This window comes from Homo sapiens, chromosome 7 (assembly GCF_000001405.40).
Source record: "Homo sapiens chromosome 7, GRCh38.p14 Primary Assembly".
In the NCBI taxonomy this organism is placed as follows: Eukaryota; Metazoa; Chordata; class Mammalia; order Primates; family Hominidae; genus Homo; species Homo sapiens.
Genome location: NC_000007.14, coordinates 16,766,169 through 16,784,855, shown reverse-complemented (window position 1 = coordinate 16,784,855; position 18,687 = coordinate 16,766,169). Strand labels below are relative to the sequence as shown.

General features: G+C 37.3%; 1 protein-coding gene and 1 long non-coding RNA gene across 2 annotated transcripts in view; both read right to left on the bottom strand.

Moving 5' to 3' along the window:
* Positions 1-319: 319 nt before the first annotated feature.
* The window catches only part of TSPAN13 (tetraspanin 13), a 30,782-nt gene continuing 12,414 nt past the window's right edge, over positions 320-18,687 (bottom strand). The window contains exons 2-6 of the mRNA NM_014399.4: positions 8,478-8,645; positions 7,734-7,814; positions 6,945-7,058; positions 5,740-5,853; positions 320-1,439 (exon numbers count right to left, since the gene is read on the bottom strand). Coding sequence (NP_055214.1) covers positions 1,365-1,439; positions 5,740-5,853; positions 6,945-7,058; positions 7,734-7,814; positions 8,478-8,645 — 552 coding nt within the window. The 3' untranslated portion in view covers positions 320-1,364. The remainder of the gene's footprint in view (positions 1,440-5,739; positions 5,854-6,944; positions 7,059-7,733; positions 7,815-8,477; positions 8,646-18,687) is intronic.
* On the bottom strand, positions 2,310-4,508 carry LOC124901593 (uncharacterized). Its single transcript, XR_007060228.1, has 2 exons — positions 3,073-4,508; positions 2,310-2,672 (listed from the first exon to the last, which is right to left on the bottom strand). It is a non-coding gene; the product is annotated as an uncharacterized LOC124901593 (long non-coding RNA).

Here is an 18,687-nt window from a genome sequence, read left to right as displayed (position 1 = left end):
ACCTAGTAAGACAATAAAATACCACATGCTACCTAGAATGTAAAACAAGAAATTAATAATTTTTCGTAATGGGAAAGAACGTATATATTTTTCCCAAATAAATATTAATGGCTTCTCTTTTTAGAAAAACTTTTTCTCACCATGGAGATAATATTAGCCACTGAAACATTTCAAGAAAGGATTTGAGGATGACTACCAATAGACATTAATGCTGGAAATTTATTTCCACAGCTTGATTATACACTAAAATAGCAATACCCAGCTCTAAGTCCAACAGAGAGAAGCTAAAGCAGAAAGAAAAGAATTCCACCTCACTTAATTCATCGATCAATTCTTCCATTACTTTCTTTTAATTCAAACATGCATACACAAAGAAAGGTTTCTGTCCTTTAATTTTTTAACAGAATATACAGAGCCACACAATACGATTTCAATTTCAAATTATGGGAGATCATATTCAAATATGCTTAGGTTTGACAAGTTGCTGTTACAATACTGAGAAATTTCATGAAAACGGTATTTAACAATTTTTAAGATAATCAAATATCTTTTTGCTACGTGGGCCAACGCATTAATACTAACTTGTTTAAAAATGCAGTCTTTTAGACTTCAAATTATTATAAAACAATATCAAGATCATATAGATATACTTCCTGATTACTCAAAACTCGTTCCATTCTGATGGAGGCTGAAGGTAAATGTTATTATACATTAGAACATTTCATGAAACCACTTCTCCTTTGCACTTACCTGTAAAAGTCAAAAATTAAACCACAATTTCCTAAGACATAACTATTTCTAGAATACATTGGTGTAATCATAAAAGACTACAAGTAAATTATCATTTTTATACTAACACTTTTTACCACAACAATCTTTCCTAAAAAGACCAAAAAAAATTGGGAATTTGGATTTCCCTTAACATAACAGGATCTCATACTTTCTGATTTTAATAAATTTCCACTCTTTTTCCAGTAGGAACTATCTACACAGCACAGTGCTACATATAATTATACCAGTGAGATGTACGTTCAGATTCACCATATAACCAACACAGTGGTACCATACAAAGTTTTTCTGCAGGTAAAAATGCTAAGAAAGGCCACAGTGGACAGTGCCCGACAATGAATACAGTAAATTCCAGGTGCCACCGAGCTTCAGAGACCACAAGTTTCAAATATTTTTCAGCAACGGAAAGAAAAAAACATGTAGAGAAACATAGAGTAAAAATATATAATTCCACTATCAATAAGGTACTTTTCCAGATAGTGTTTCCTTCCTTAAACTGGCAAATGGAGCTTAACAGAAAATTACAGAAAGTGAACAAGATCATAATACGAAAGGAAATCTTCCTTGTTTTCTCATCAAAGGAATGCACTAGGATTCGCGCGGGGGTCTTTCTGGTTCCTGTATCTGTAGGTCAGCCAAACACCCAGGATCTGGAATGGGGAAAAAAAAATAAAGTAAAGAAAAAGAAAGTAACATTTATGTATATTTATTCAGTTGATCAATAAAATAACTTTGGACCCTCTCAATCGCTTTGCATCTTTTGTTCAACGGGGAGAGATTTTTTTTCTTTTTGAAATGAAGTAAACCAAATGACGGGCGCTGAGAAAAAATTAAAACGAACACTGTGGTAAACTGAATGACTGGCCCTGAAGGATGTCCATGTCCTAACCCCTACGACCTGCAAATATGTTACCTTACACAGTAACAGGGACTTTGCGGGTGTGGTTAAGGGTCTCAAGATAAAGAGATTATTACCCAGGTGGGCTCAATGATATAATCACAGGGGGACACATATGACGGAGGCAGGAAGGACAGAGTCAGAAACATGGAGAGAAGACACCGTGATGGCAGAAGTAAAGGGAAATAGAAAGAGAAGCTGCAACTCTCCTAGCTTTGAAGATGTAAAAGGAGGGCTGGTGAGCCTGGCCTCCAGAAGGTACCTTTATTTTAAACTTTTGATCTCCAAAACTGTAAGACAATAAGTTTGTGTTGTGTTAAGCAACTATGTGTGTGGTAACCTGTTACAGCAGAAATATGGAAAACTAATACAAAGTCAAAGTAGTCTAAATAGCTAAAATAGCATATATTTTGATAATTCAGGAATAAACTAAGTTCAGTAAAATTTAAGTAACAGCAAAAAATCTTAAAATGAATAAATTTTCCAACACAGAAATTTAAAATGTTATAATTCCTACCTCTCTTGGTAGGAAGAGATGAAGCTGTTACTGTGCCATTTCCCGCACCAAGTTCGCTAAATTGTTAGCCAGTATAGTTTTTTAAATTAAGAAATGTGTGCTCTGTTTCTGTTTCAAAGTTGGTTTATTTTAAATAAATGAAAATTGTAACTCTTTAGGCTAAAAAAGATACAAAATTTTAATAGAATAAAATGAGTTTTAAACTGTATCTCCCACTTTATACGTGTGCCAACTTTTAACCTAAATTTTGTTTATGTGACTTTGTAGCCACCATTAGCCCTTTTAAACTACTTCTAGAGAGTTAGGTAAGTCCCAGATTCTCTCCACTGACCACAATAAGAATCCACAAATTACTGTAAGATTCATAACTGGCAGTGTTTATAGCTGGTGGACTGAGGTCTGCAGGTTGAATCAAGGAAAGGTAAGCCTGATTTGAAGATGTGGAAAGTCATCTGTTTTGGAATCCATCTAATGGGGAAAAAGAAATGTATTTAACAAACATAACAAAGAGTTCTTTATGAAAGGTACCATTCTACAAACTACAAATTCATATAATCCCCCCAATAGCTTTCACAAAATAGATACTATCAATATCGTCATTTTACCAGTGAGGAAACTGAGGCAACAAGAGGTTAAACAAAATAATCACACAGGTCCTCAGTGGTAGAGCCCATGTTCAAACCTGGAGCCCATAAACTACCCCACTTTTGTGGTTTTATTCGGTAATCTGACATGTCACTGGCTGTTCTCAGCCACACTAGCTGTTACAACACGGAAATACTTACATATCTGTAGTTAAACAACTATTTCTTTGAGTCCCCCCGCCCCACCTCAACCTGCCCAAATATCACTTGCCAAAGCTCCCCACCTTGGAAATTTTCAGCACAGGGAGCTTCTGGTCAGAATTTTTGAGGATGTTAACATTTTGACTATCACCCCTGGATATATGCTGAGAGGGTAAATCACAGTCCTTGGGGGAAGAAAGCAATCAAACAAACTAAATACTCATAATCCGGAGCCACATTTTACCAGAATTGTATTCCTCCAACTTGGCTATAAGCGCCAAAAGGGGAAAATCTCTCCCCTTCCTTGCCCGACTGTTCAGAGAGGGATAGAAAGGAAGGCTACATCCAAAATGCAAAAAGATCAAAACTGGATAATTATTGAACTTCAAGCTTACAAAAGTGCTCATGATTAAGAGGGCACTTTTCAAAGGTAACTTTGATTAGATGTCATCAACTCTGCGGTCTCTAGAACCTACACTCAGTGTGCAGTAGGTCACCAAAATATATTGCTCATAACATGAAAATGTATGTAGAAAAATAAAGTACATGTAGAATATGCAATAAGCTGGTACTCATTTTACTAAATATAGAACGGGCAGAAGGAAATATGCCACAATATAAATGATTGTTTCTGAGTAGGTAATTTTAGTAGCTACGTCTAATTTTTCATCTTCATAATTTTTTGTAGTTTCTCAAGTTACTACAAAGAACATATATTAATCATAGCTTTTTTCAGATTCTAAATCAATGTTTCTCTCATGGTTTAGGTTTGTTTAAAGGTATAATAAATAGTTCAAATCAAATCTTTCTATTTCACCTATGAGAAGAAGTTGTCAGCTAAGTAACTGCATCCCTTCAAATTCTGAGAATCTGTGATTCTGTGAATATTGAGCAAAATATAAACTTAAAAAGTGAGAGCCTACCACTATCACTATCTAAAAAACCAGGTTGCATAAGTTATAAAAATCTCTAGCCAGATTTCCAAAGGAGACAGTATGTAAGATATAAAGCAGGATTCCATGAAAGAACACTTTAGAAATCTAAGACTCATGAGTTCTATTTTTAAAGAACTCCTACTTAAAAAATAGCATAACTGAAGGCAGTGTGATCTGATGACAAGAAAACTGGGCTGCTCAAAAGAACTAAATTCTCAAAATAAATTCCAGATATAAAAAAGAAGCCACGTGGCAAAATTCTGATAACTGCTGACTCTAGCTGATGTGTAGAGAGAAATTACTCCAGTTTTTCTCTATCTGTATTTTTAAGTTTTCATAACAAAAATCTATGGTTTTTAAACAAAAGAAGAGAGAAATGCACAGAATTCTTGTCAAGCTGTATATCATTTTTCTAGAATTAATGTCACAACCAACTCACAAGTCAGATAGCTCTTTTCTGAGAAACAGTGAAATGAAAAAATGGTCAGACTAAAGAGGGAAGTCAGAAGGAACTTTAAAAAAATGAATATTGGGCCAGGTGCAATGACTCACACCTGTAACCCCAGCACTTTGTGAGGTTGAGGTTGGCAGATCACTTGAGGCCAGGGGTTCCAGACCAGCCTGGCCAACATGGTGAAACCCTGTCTCTACTAAAAATACAAAAATTAGCTGGGTGTAGTGGTGCATGCCTGTAACCCCAGCTACTCGGGAGGCTGAGGTGGGAGAATCGCTTGAACCCAAGAGGTGGAGCTTGCAGTAAGCCGAGATTGCACCACTACACTCCAGCCTAAGCAACAGAGCAAGACTCTGTCTCAAAATAAATAAATAAAATAAATAAATAAAAATAAAAAATGAATACTAGGCCAGGCACGGTGGCTCATGCCTGTAATCCCAGCACTTTGGGAGGCCGAGGTGGGCAGATCACGAGGTCAGGAGATCCAGACCGTCCTGGCTAACATGGTGAAACCCCGTCTCTACTAAAAATACAAAAAATTAGCTGGGCGTGGTGGCGGGCGCCTGTAGTCCCAGCTACTCAGGAGGCTGAGACAGGAGAATAGCGTGAACCCGGGAGGCGGAGCTTGCAGTGAGCCAAGATTGTGCCACTGCACTCCAGCCTGGGTGACAGAGCAAGACTCCATCTCAAAAAAAAAAAAAGAATATTAATCTTGGTCTTTTTTTTTCCTATGCTGTTAATGACAGCCAAATGTACATATTTCATTCTTGATGAGAAAAAAAGAAACTGAACTTGAATAAAATATATGATAAATACACATACATAAATATTGTACTATATATTAATTGCATATTATACACAATACATTATACACATATAGACATTATGCATAGGTTTTAGAAGGCTAGGAACAGGGGAATGAAAAATGGTGTAGGAAGGCAATTTTTCAAGATATATATAAAAAGATATATAATCTTTTTATATATGTATGTCTGTGTATTATAGACATTAACATACATATTAAACAATGTGAATGTCCTACCTTTTCCAAATTAAATTTAAAATTATAATTCATCACACAACTGTAGAAATAGAAGAGACCCTAGAGATAATTCAATCTAATCTCACTCATTAGTTCATTAAATTTTACATAAGAAGAGACAGATCAAGCCTTTCACCCGGTCCTAAAGTTGGTGCTATTAATAGACTTGTAAGATCTTCTGATTCTAAACCAAGTTTCCTCTTTTTACAGTGCTAGTTCTCAATGAAAATGCTCACTGATAACAAGAATCAAGGCCCTTTGTCATGCAAAACAGGAATCTCTGTGACAAAGGAGGAAAAATATTGTTATTTGCACATACCTCTGTAAAACTGAAGAACAGGCCAATGCCACCAACAAATCTCAAAACCTCTCCAGCATATTCTCCTATGATTGGAGCACATGGCGAGCACGAGTGGTCACTTTTAACACAGCTCTGCACCAATTAAAGTAAAAAAACCTTTATTTCAAAATACATTTATAAAAAGCCCATAAAAACTGCATACACACAAAATTAGTGTCTAAGAGTATTATATCCAATTTGAGGCCTTGGTTTTTTAGTGTGCAAATCTCTAACACAGCCCCCAAGACTCCCACCCTCCCCTCTCAATGGTGTACACACCCTATACAATCACTGCTCTTGAGTATGCGTGGAACTTGTGAATATGATAGGACAGTCACTTCCATGTTACCTTACATCAGATAAGACTCCATTACGCATTACAAAAGACTCCATCTTAACAGAATGGAGAGATTCTCACAGTGACTTTGATGCTGCCACATTGTGAAAGAGTAACATAGGACCTGAGAGCAGCTTCTAGTTGCAGAGAGAGACCTCCAGCCAACAGGCAGCAAAAAAACAGGGGTGGTCCCACAGCCACAAAGACTGAATTCTTCCAACAACCACTGAGCGTGGGGAGAGGACCCCAAGCTTCAGATGAGGCTGCAGCCTCAGATGACACCTTGATTTCAGCCAGGTGAGCAAAGGACCCAGCCAAGCCTGACCCAGGGAAACTGTGAGATAATAAATGGGTATTTAAAGCCACTAAATGGATATTTAAAGCCAGTGTGTTTCTATTGCTGTGTAATAATGTGTTACGCAGCAACAGAAACATAACACAGACCCCCTACAAGGAGATAATCTCACAAAAGAAGCCTCACTGAGGAAATATTCAGCTTAGGGCTCAGAGATGTGATAACAGGAGTTTCCCCAAAATATGAACACATGAACTGACGTACTATTATTTCTTTCACAACTTGTTCTAGGAAGAGAAGGATGGGAAGAAATTAGGGACAATAAACCATTAGCATCTGTGTCCAATAGGGCCTTGAAATTCTCAACACTCTCTGGAGTGGGTATTTGAGAACAGGCAAATGATATAACAGAGGACATGGAAATATAATGTAAATATATACATAAAATAATCCTGAAAATACAATTCAGCATCAGAAAGTCCATTTCTTCCACATTAATCATTATTTATCTGTAATACATTTCCAAAAACATATATTATACAATGTACTTACAGCCAGACAGGTGTCATTTGGGTTAACACTTCGGAACCCACAGCAGTTTAGATTTCTCTGGATGTCATTTCGAGCACTTGCCGTATTGTTCCAACCAACCTCCAGAAGCTGACCCTAGTAAATGTGTTTAATATATAAAATGTGTCATCCCTGCAGAAAATGTATAAAGCTGGAGCCTGTAACTTTTAGTACTAAGTGTACCTAAAATAATTTTTATTTTAAAAATCCTTAAAACTTTTCAAAGGCTTATTCCTCAGTTTGCAGCAAAAATTAAGGCACTATTTCTATCCCAAGATTGAAAAACTCCTAATTTTTTACATGCATTTAAAAGAATTTACATGCAATTTAAAAGAAGCACTTGGTTCAAAGGCATAATTCTCGGAGTGTTAACAAGGCAAAAGTTCTGTTGCTCCATGACAGAAACCTGGATTTGTCTACGAATTAGAGCTTGAAAACAGTCATTGCTAGACTGGAACCACAAGCATTCTGGAGCAAATGTTTCATTGCATAATAGTGGGAAAAGATTGGGGGAACATCTTTTAGCCATAGCACTTTTTAACCCAGTGAAAGCAAAATCCGATTTAAAAGATACCGAAAATGGCAACACCTGATGGTGTCCGGCTCCAACCTGCTGCACTAATGCAAAGGGAACAAGAGAGTTTTGCTATCCAGAGTGAAGGTGGCATTCTGTGCAAGACGAAATTATTTTATATTCTAATCATTACCCTCCTTTTTTTCATACTCATGCTATGTGGTATAATAAAGTAGAAGAAAAAAGTCTTAGCTTACCTGTTGCTCCTGGTTCAGGGCTAAACAAGCGCAAGATACAGAAAACTGAACAATAAATACAAGTAACAGAATAATCATATACTGAGAGTTAGAAGTTAAGGATACTTCTAAATATTCTTAGAATGGCATAAAACAGAGGTACAGAGGTACTGACAACTTTAGAATGCACAAGAAGTAATTAACCCAGAATACAGAACAGATGGCACTTAGAGAAAGTTCAAAAAGGATACACATATTATTATTTTGGTAATACATAGTTGCATCAAATTTATAAAGAAAAATATTAGTCATAATTACATAACTAAAACTAGATTAGAATTTCATTCAGAATAAAATAAAAATTCTTACATTTACAAAACAGACATAGGTATAGATAAATACATGTAAGCTTTTTTAATATTAAGTCTAAAAAAAACACTGAAATTCTCAACCAAACATTAATGTGTAAAAAAGGGCCTAGAAGTCACCAAATCAATTCAATTTAACTCTGAATTTACAATACATAAATAGGACTACACTGAACTTGCAGAATATATTCTTCAGGGTGTCACAAGGACAGGGTGAGAATATGAAAACGTACAATAACATTACCCTAAGAAATGTTTCTAATAGTTCTTGAACAAATATGCATAAGGCTTGCTTGGAGTTGCTTTCTGGCAATAAATTTCCTAGTGATAATATTAAATTAGTTGTAACCATCAAAATAGTCATCAAGAGTAAAATCTTGATTTTTAAAAAGGATACAAAAAATAGCAACACCTGATGATGTTTTACAGCTCCAATCAGACCCACTAAAGCAATCAGGAACAAGAAGATGCCCACTGCAATGACCACGCCGACCACTCGGAGACTGGAAATCAGCCCGAAGCCAATGCCCCACGCAGCAATTCCAATTAGCAGCAGACTAACCAACTGCAAAAACACCCAGGGGGCAGGGGTAGAGGACGAGAGAGAGGAGAGAGAATGGGGAAAATGCCAGTTAATTAAATATCAACAATATCCTTCAGGCACCTACGTAGTCTCTTACAAATAAGCACTAAAACTTAATACAAGAATACACACAAGATCTCAATAGGCAGTATTGTTTTAACAAATTACATTAATCCCCAGGCGTGCTTTATTCTTGCAAAAGAAAAAAAAAGACTGATAATACGCAAAATTCTCACAGAGCCTCAGAAGTCATCTGTTTACTAAGAGCCTAAATGCATGCTACTGAAGATTTTGAAGAAATCACATACACAAAAACTTCCAGATGCCAAGCTCGGTCCAACATATTGATCTCTTCAAATGGACATCACCTATCTTTCCTTCAAAGCCCAAATGCACTGTAATTTTCTCTGGGAAGCCCTCCTAGTCCCCAGCTGACTAAAGAAATCCCTCCGTTGTCGGGCCGATCTCTGTTACTGGAACACGGTTCTCTTGTTCCCTTCATCACACATTGTGTTTCCAAGCTTGTCTCTCCAGAAGACTGGCAGCAACTTGAGAGTAAGGACCCACATCTTTTCACCTGGCTATACAGCCCCAGAATCTATCACAAGACCGGGTCCCTGGGGAATACTCAAAAACTGCTCATAGAATTGCTGCTGAAATTAACTGCTTTAAATGTCATCATCTATTTTATTAAAAATCATATATAGAGAGATCATTAAAACTTTTAGCAGAATAAAAAGAATGTAAGAGACTTTAGCTATTTAAAGTGAACTAGTATTCTGAGCAAAAAGAAATTCTTTGATATGCCAATTGTTTTATTCATATATTTATAAAACAACACTGGTTGAAGAACACATGCCTAGTGGTTATGACCTGTAAAAGTCAAAATGATATTACTTCTTTAAAATCCCACTTAAAAATAGTATGCCACATAAAGATGGTAATTCACTTATAGAAGATGAAGCTTACATAGGTATTAGGGGAGGAGTGGGGGACAGGTTGTTGAACAGGAAGGAAACAGTATCTTCAATCATGAGTCAACCATTGCCTGGAGCAATCTGACAGCATAATACCCAATTAGGAAAAATCAAAACATAAAAAAATATATTTTCTAGCACCATTTAAAAGCCTGATAAACTTTGCTTAGAAATATAAAAATAAATTACCACTTACTCAAATGCATCTTTTTCTGCTCAAATGTGTAAATTTTCGTATGTAATACAATAGTTTGTCAGGCAAATTTTACATCTACTGGTACAGTAAACCTTACATATGTAGAGATACAAGCAAAACTGCTACATGAGTGTCTATTTGTACTCATAGAAAATATTTTTTTGTATTTTTTTGCCAAAGAGACAAAACTTGAGAATAAAAGGAACCATCTATAGCATAATATAATCAAATTAGAGAGTTATATGAACTTGGTGGGCTCCACTGCAGCTGGTACACCCAGCAAGCTTTTCTTTTCAGAGGGACAAGGAGAGGCAAAAATTTTCACAAATTTTGCCACTCAGAAATTCGTCTAGTCCTTCTCATTTTCCCAACTGCTCCTTATCAGTAGGCCCATTTGCCTCTGTTTCATTTTATCATACTCACTGACAGTCTTCTCACAACTTCAAACAGTCTTGGACTGAGAAAAAGTCCTCTGCCCCTTCACAAGTGAGCTTATTTCTGACTCTGTGGTATTCAAATTTAACACATTTCCCTTCAGGAGCTGTAAAAGACAGAAGCCTGAAGGAGGTGCGAAGGAAGAAGGAGTGCTGGATGATGCGTGGCAGGAGGGCTATGCTTAGCATCCTTGCTGCATCATGGTACCAAACGCTGAAGATGGGCCACATGTGCAAGACATCAGAGCAGCTTGCTGTACTTCTGTTTCCAGAGAAACAGAACCAATAGGAAATACATCTATATCTACATCTATCTATCTATTGAGTGAAAATCCAACAGTGAAACAGAGACAGAGAGATTTTAAAGAATTGGCTCACATGATTGTCGTGACTGGCAAGTCAGAAATTTGTAGAGCTGGCCAGCAGGCTGGAAACTCAAGCAGAATTCCTTCTTCCTCAGAAAACCTTAATCTTTGTTCTTAAGGTCTTCAACTGATGGGATAAGGCCCACTCACATGATGGAAGGTAATAGGATTTAAAGTCAACTGATTGTAAATGTTAGTCACATCTACAAATATTTTTGCGGCAACATCTAGACTAGTGCTTGACCAAACAACTGGGCACCACAGCCTAGCCAAGTTCACATATAAAATCAACCATCACATTTGCCAACACCCAAGTCCTGGGTGTGATGCATATATCCTAATTCAGTTAAATTCACCAGAAGAATTACATTGTATCTTTTAAGTCTTAGAGCCAAAAAAGATAAGAAGCATGAATAAGAGTATTACTAATAAAATTCTTCTAACCCCATAGTTCTTTAAGATCTTTAAAAGATTCTTTAAATCCTTTTGGGAATTATACTACATCCTTACTATATTACTGAAATCCTTAAATATGAGAATATTAAAAGTTACACCTGCTTAAATAGTAAATTAAAAGTTAATTATTCACCGACAAGTACTTGATGCTATGTGCTAAAAGCCAGAGACAAGACATCCCTATTAGAACAGGGCTTGGCAAACTTTCTCTGCAAACGGCCAGATATTTATTATCAGGCTTTGCAGATCACATGGTCTCTGCCACAACTACCCAACTCTGCCCCTGTACACAAAAGCAGTGACAGACAATATGTAAACAAATGAGCAGGCAGGGCTGTGTTCCAATAACTATTTATACATACCAAAATTTGAATTCATATAATTTTAATGCATCACAAAATATCATTCCTCCTTTTTTTTTTTTTTTAACATTCAAAAATGTGAAACCATTCTAAGTTAGCAGGCTGTACAAAAATAGTCAATGAGATGGATCTGGCTGTGGGCTGTAGTTTTCGGACCCCTGCTCTAGAAGTCGGTATAGAAGAGAATGAAAAATTACAATAGGACAAATAATCAAATAATTGCTAACCGCCCCCCCCCAAGATTTTTTATAAGGCGAGTAAGAGTATAGAACAATAATCTCCCCCTGACACACAAAAAAATTCAGATAAACAGAATAGCCCAGCTGACCCCTCTGTGAATATAATCTTCAGTAGTAAAAGAATAAGTATTTATTATTTATTTATTTTTTATTTTATTTTATTTTTTGGAGACAGAGTTTTGCTCTCTCACCCGGGCTGGAGTGCAGTGGCGCAATTTCGGCTCACTGCGACCTCCACCTCCCGCGTTCAAGTGATTCTCCCACCTCAGCCTTCCCAGTAGCTGGGATTACAGGCATATGCCACCACGTCCAGCTAATTTTTGTATTTTTAGTAGAGACGGGGTTTCACCATGTTGGCCAGGCTGGTCTCGAACTCCTGACCTCAGGTGATCCACCTGCCTCGGCCTCCCAAATTGCTGGGATTACAGGCATGAGCCACCGCGCCCGGCCAAGGATAAACATTATCTTATGTGGTAAAAGATGGAACTAAATTAAGGATCTTTAAAGGAGGTGCTTATCCTAGATTATGAGGTGGGCCCTAAATGTCATAACAGGTATCCTTAAGAGAGAGGCACAGGGAAATTAGAGAGAGACACACACAATGTAGAAAGTGACATAAAAAAAAGAGGCAGAGACTAATGCAGCCACAAGGAATGCCAGCAGCCACCAGAAAATGGAAGACGCAAGAACAGATTCTCCCCCAGGTCCCTGAGAGAGCCTGACTCTGTGGACACCTTGATTTTGGACTTCTGGTCTCCAGGACTGTGAGGGGATAAATTTCTGTTATTTTGAGTCACCATGTTCGTGGTAATTTGCTACAGCAGTCCTAGAAAAGAAATACAGAACAATTCACCTATTTGGAGTTTGACAAATCAGGAACCTCTCACTGTTATAGAACCTGCCTGGAATTTTACCATCAGTGGAATCCTTATCATGTAGCTGGGGTGAAGTGTTCTGGTACCCTCATGGGCATCCTCGCCGCAAAGCAAATACATTATCTGCATCATCGTTTCGGCAAAATGAGGAAACTCTTCAATGCTCACTCAGTTGCCAACTAATAGGCTCATTAATAATGAGAATCTATTAATGTAAATGTAAAGAAAAGATCTCTACAACCAAAAAGAGGGGAGAAAACACTATTTAGTTCTCAGATTAGGCTTTATGCTATTATTGAGAATGTTATCTAGAATATTCACAAGTACCTCTGTTCTGGTTTTTTTCTTTTCCTGCAGATAGAGGCAAAAAAGAGGCTGCTTCCTTCTACATAACCCTCTGTCAAGGGCATTCCTCACCAAGTTGATTCTGCTGTGTCTTCAATATAGTTTTCAGTCTACCCTAATTACCACTACCAGGCAGTCCTCTAAAACCATCAAAGAGGGTTTCCTATCGCTGCTTTTGCAAATTAACACAAGTGTAGTGGCTTAAAATAACACAAATGTATTGCCTTACAGTTCTGGAGGCTGTGTTGGTCAGGTTGTACTCCTGAAAGCTCCAGAGGGAGAATCTGTTTCCTTGCTTCGTCTAGTTTCTGAGGGTTTTCTGCATTCCTTGGCATATAACCCCTTCCTCTGTCTTCAAAGCCAGGAGCATATCATGTTCAAACCCCTCAAATATGCACATCATTTTTTGACTCTGACCCTCTTTCCTCCCTCTTCCAAGGACCTGTGTGATTCCATAAAGCTCACCCAGATAATCCAGAATAATCTCCCCATCTCAAGATTCTTCATTTAATCACATCTTCAAAGTCCTTTTAGTTATGTAAAGTAACGTGTTTGTAGGTTTCAAGGATTAGGATATGAACGACTTTTTGGAGTGTGTGGTTATTTAGCCCACCACAGAGGGTTCTTGGAACATGGGCAACTGAGCTACCACAGAATCCTTTCAGCTACAAATATTTTAAAACACTGAAAAGACTGTAACATTTTATTTAAATACGTAAGTGAGCACAGAAAAACTATGGGAAATTCCTACAGGTCAGAAATGAAAGGAGAATCGAAAGCTAGAACTGTAAGCATACAGCTGGTGCTGTGGGGTCCCATGAGCAGGTGGGGAAGGAGTTCCTGGATCAGAACAGTCCCTAACGGGAAAGGATTTAGGTTTCATAGCAGAGCTAGGAAGTGGAACTGAGACCCTTGCATAACTGGGATCTCCAAAAAGCTGTATTTTCAGTGTCAGGGGTTAGAGAAAAACCACAACAACCTATCCAGAAAGAGAGCAAAGACTTTTCAGTCTCTTCAAAAAGTTTTCAAGAAAGAGAAACACGAGCCTATCAAACAAGAGCCTATCATGCCCATGCTTGCAGTCTAAGAGTACACTGCCTCAGGCATGCAGGAATCCTCAAGACAAACAATTCAAATAAAAGCTGATTACAAGAGGTGACGGCATTTGGGGGAGAAAAGCTCATAAACGCATATCCAAAATTTGCTCAGGAGGGACCCTTCCAAATCCCAGCCCTTACAGGATTCCCAAAGAAAAAAATAAAAACATTGCTGCCAATCAAAAAATCACAAAATGACTAAGAAAAAAATTTACCATGAGAGAGATATGACAAATATAACAAAAGAAGGATAAAAGCTCCCAAGAACTTGAGATGACAGAACTAACTGAAGGAGACTAAAACAAAATATTTTAAACTGACTAAAAAGATAAAAGGGGGCTGGGCGCGGTGGCTCACGCCTGTAATCCCAACACTTTGGGAGGCCGAAGCGGGTGGATCACTTGAGGTCAGTTGTTCAAGAGCAGTCTGGCCAACATGGTGAAACTCTGTCTCTACCAAAATATTTTTTAAAAAATAGCCGGGTGTGATGGTGGGCACCTGTAATCCCAGCTACTTGGGAGGCTGAAGCAGGAGAATCACTTGAACCCGAGAGGCAGAGGCTGCAGTGAGCCGAGATTGTGCCACTGCACTCCAGCCTGGGCAACAGAGTGAGACTCCATTTCAAAAATAATAATAATAATAAAATAATAAAATAAAAAATATTAAACAGAAAAATAAAAAGATAAAAGGGGAATAAAAACTATTTTAAAAACCCATATTTTTAAAAATGCAAACTTAAAAAAGAGTCACATAAAACAAACCCAATGGTAGGAGAAAGAAGAGAAACTTACAATAGAAAGAATACATAAAGCTTCATTAAAGGAGAGAAAAGTAACAGCCCTTGGCAAAATTATTTAAGAGAAAGGTTAATAATAAATCCTTCCAAATTTTTAAACTGATAAATACCGATCAAAAAGCCAAAGCAAAAATCACACTCAGTGACAAAAGATAGGAAAGATTATTCTAGCTAATGGTAAGATAAAAATAAATCATAAACATTTTCTCCAAAATTCAGGAATAAGACAGGGTGTGGACTTTCACCACATCTATTCAGCATTGTGGTGGGGTTTTAGACAACTAAGTGTAAATACAAAATAACAATGGGAGGAGAGAAACACAGCTTTCATTATTCAAAAATTATTAGGAGCATCTACAAAGGAAATCCAAAAAATCAAAAAAAAATTAAAATTGGTAAGAACCAGCAAAGTTGCTAGAAACAGAATCAATACACAAAAATCAACAACATGCTGATGCACCAAAAAAAATTTTTTTCACATACTTTTTAGGATATAATTTGTAATATACCCCCAAAATATAAGATATATATGAAGAAATCCAACAAAAGTAGTCCAAGATCTTCATGAAGAAAATTGTGAAATGTATTTGAAGAACATGAAAGAAGACCTAAAATAAACAAAGAGATAAAGAAGATTAAGGAGAAAAGCTTGTATCTGCTGCACTTTTTCTTAGCCCAGCTGCACTGTCACCAGAACCATGAAGAAGAAATGCTCCTGGTGGCAAATCAGTCCTGTCAGTGGTTCAATCTAACTGTCCTGAATGCCACCCTTGTTGTTGTTTTCACCCATGTCTGCAAAACTTGAGCCTGACTCTACATATTTTGGATATATTTCTTTTTTTTAAAGTAAAATTAAATAGATTTTAAAAATTTAAAAACTAAATAAGTTAAAAACCATCTAACAAATATCAGAACCTATTATAATGGCCAGGCACAGTGGCTCATGCGTGTAATCCTAGCACTTTGGGAAGCCAAGGCGGGATGATCACTTGAGGTCAGGAGTTCGAGACCAGCCTGGCCAACATAGTGAAACCCTGTCTCTACTAGAAATACAAAAATCAGCCAGAAATAGCTTGAACCCAGGAGGCAGAGTTTGCAGTGAGCCAAGATCACGCCACTGCACTCCACCCTGGGTGACAGAGCAAGACTCTGTCTCAAAAAAAATAAAATAAGAGATATGACAAATACCTCATTTTAATGGTTCAGTCGTTAAAGCAGGTAACTGATACAGATCTAAATAAGCCAGCAGCATAGTCTTTGAGAGAGGCAAAATTCTAAGTCAGCAGAGAAAGAGTAGACTTTAATAAGTAGCCTTGTGACAACCACCTTCTCATTTTGAAAACTGATATTATTAATCCCTACCTCAAACCATAAACTCTACTTTAAGCACAACTTAAAAGTATAGAAAATATTTTAATGACTTTGTGGGTAAGGAAAAATTTCTTTGAAACAAGTTTCCAAAAATGCGCATATAACACTGACATGGCATTTACTCTGTTTAAGAAAGTATTATAAGGGTTTTACATTTATTAACTAATTTAATCTTCACAAAAACCCTAAGAGGTAGGTACTGTTGCTTCCATTTTCCAGATGGGAAAAGCTGTGCACAGAGTGAGATGTTAAGTAACTTGCCCAAGGTTAGACAGTAAGGAAGGGATAGAGCTGGGATATGAACCCAGGCTACCTGGCTGTAGATCTGTGTTTTTACCTGCCGTACCATCCAACCTGTTACAAATTTAAACTTCTGTACTGTACAGTGAAAAATACGAGACAAATGTGAGAGACACCTAGGACTAGGAGAATATATTTCCAGCACACATATTAAAAAATGCCTACAGGCCAGGTGCGGTGGCTCACGCCTGTAATCCCAGCACTTTGGAAGGCCAAGGCAGGCGGATCACCTTAGGTCAGGAGTTCAAGACCAGCCTGGCTAACATGGTAAAACCCCATTTCTACTAAAAATACAAAAAATTAGCTGGGCGTGGTGGCACCCGCCTGTAATCCCAGCTACTCGGGAGGCTGAGGCAGGAGAATCGCTTGAACCTGGGAGGAGGAGGTTGCAGTGGGCCGAGATGGTGCCACTGCACTTCAGCTTGGGCAACAAGAGCGATACTCCATCTCAAAAGTAAAAATAAAAATAAATAAAAAATAAAAATGAATACAAATGAACTTAAGACAAAAAGCAAACTGAAAAGTGGTGAAAGGTAGTAAGAGTCAATTCACTGAAGAAGAATTTGAAAGGCCAATCAACACATGAAAAATGTTAAATCACATCAAAAATCAGGGAAACAAAAATTAAAACAAGGAAATACCATCTCACATGCACTAGACTGGCAAAAACTAAGCCTGATGACACCAAGAATGTAAAGAACCTAAAACTTGTGTACAAGTAGGAATATAAATTGTTGTAGCTACTTTATATAACAAATTAACACCACCTAGGAAAATTATATGTATCCCTTACTACCCCAGCAATTCTGTTTCTAGGTTAATCCCCAAGAGAACACCTATGTACCCAACTAGATATATACCAGGATTCTACCACAACCTTGTTTGTTACAGTAAAAAATTAAAAACATTTTCAAACATCACGACTAGGGAATTCACAGACTCTGGTGTGATCACACAATAGAATACAAATGATTTTTATCTATTTCTATTAAATTGACAAATTTCAAAAAAATGTAAAGGAAATCAGACAAGTTGCATAAATACAGATAAAACATACCATTTATATAAATTTTCAAACACAAAAAACAATACTATATGTTATTTGTAGATAATTAATGTATATAATATATGACATTGTCATACACATTCATGGAAGTGACAGATCTTGATTTCAGAACAGTGACTACCTTTGAGAGGGGAAAATGGGAAAGGGACTGGAGAGTTGGCCTTTAGCTACAGAGTAACATTTAACTTCTTAAAAGAGAGATTAGCTGGGTTCAGTGGTGTGCCTATAGTCTCAACAGTAGCTGGGACTTGGGAGGCCGAGACAGACTGCTTGAGCCCAGGAGTCCTGGGCTGCAGTGCGTTGTGACTGCACTTGGGAATAGCCACTGCACTCCAGCCTGGGCAACAAAGAGAATCCTCATCTCGAAAGAGAGAGAGAAAAAAAACACTGGCATATGTGAAATGTATAAAGCCAGTGAGTTCACAGGGGTCTACCATATTATTTCCTGAGCATATGAAATTTCCTAATTAAAACTAGCCTTGAAAAATGTAACACCCCCTTCTTACTAAGTCACCAATTCTAAATTCTTCTGCTTTGCATTCCTCTGTAAATTGGTCTAACTTTCCTCATTCAGCCTTAGCTCCCACTATCTCCCAAACCCAGCTACTTAAATCTAGACATTCTCACTTGTCTCTCAGATATTTCACCTCAATCCCCATCTATGCATATTCAAGAGCAGTCCACATTCCCTCCTATAATTTGTTCCAATTTAGGAAAGAGGAGGCTTGGGAATGAAGGTGGTATACAACTGAAGGCAACAGGCAGTAAGTTGCTGATTCTCCACACGTTTGTAACAAAAGGCAATGCTCTAGGTCCATCACACTCAGATGGTTTCAAAAGTGAACCAAGACACTGCCCTATCCCATTTTCATGCCCAACTCCTAGATGCACATATGCACACACATGCACACGCAAATACACATTCTCATTTGTAAGGGCCATTCCCAAAGGTGAAAGAAAACATAGAATCAACTGTCCAATCCAAAACAAATTTTGCACTTATTACAGCAACAGCGAAACTGTACATCATAAACTTGTTTGTGCTAATCAATTTTCTAATGAACACCCAAAAATATGTTGGATTTTTTCATTTAAAAAGCTAAAAACAATGTGTTTTCTTGTGTATGACTGGTGTTTCTAACACA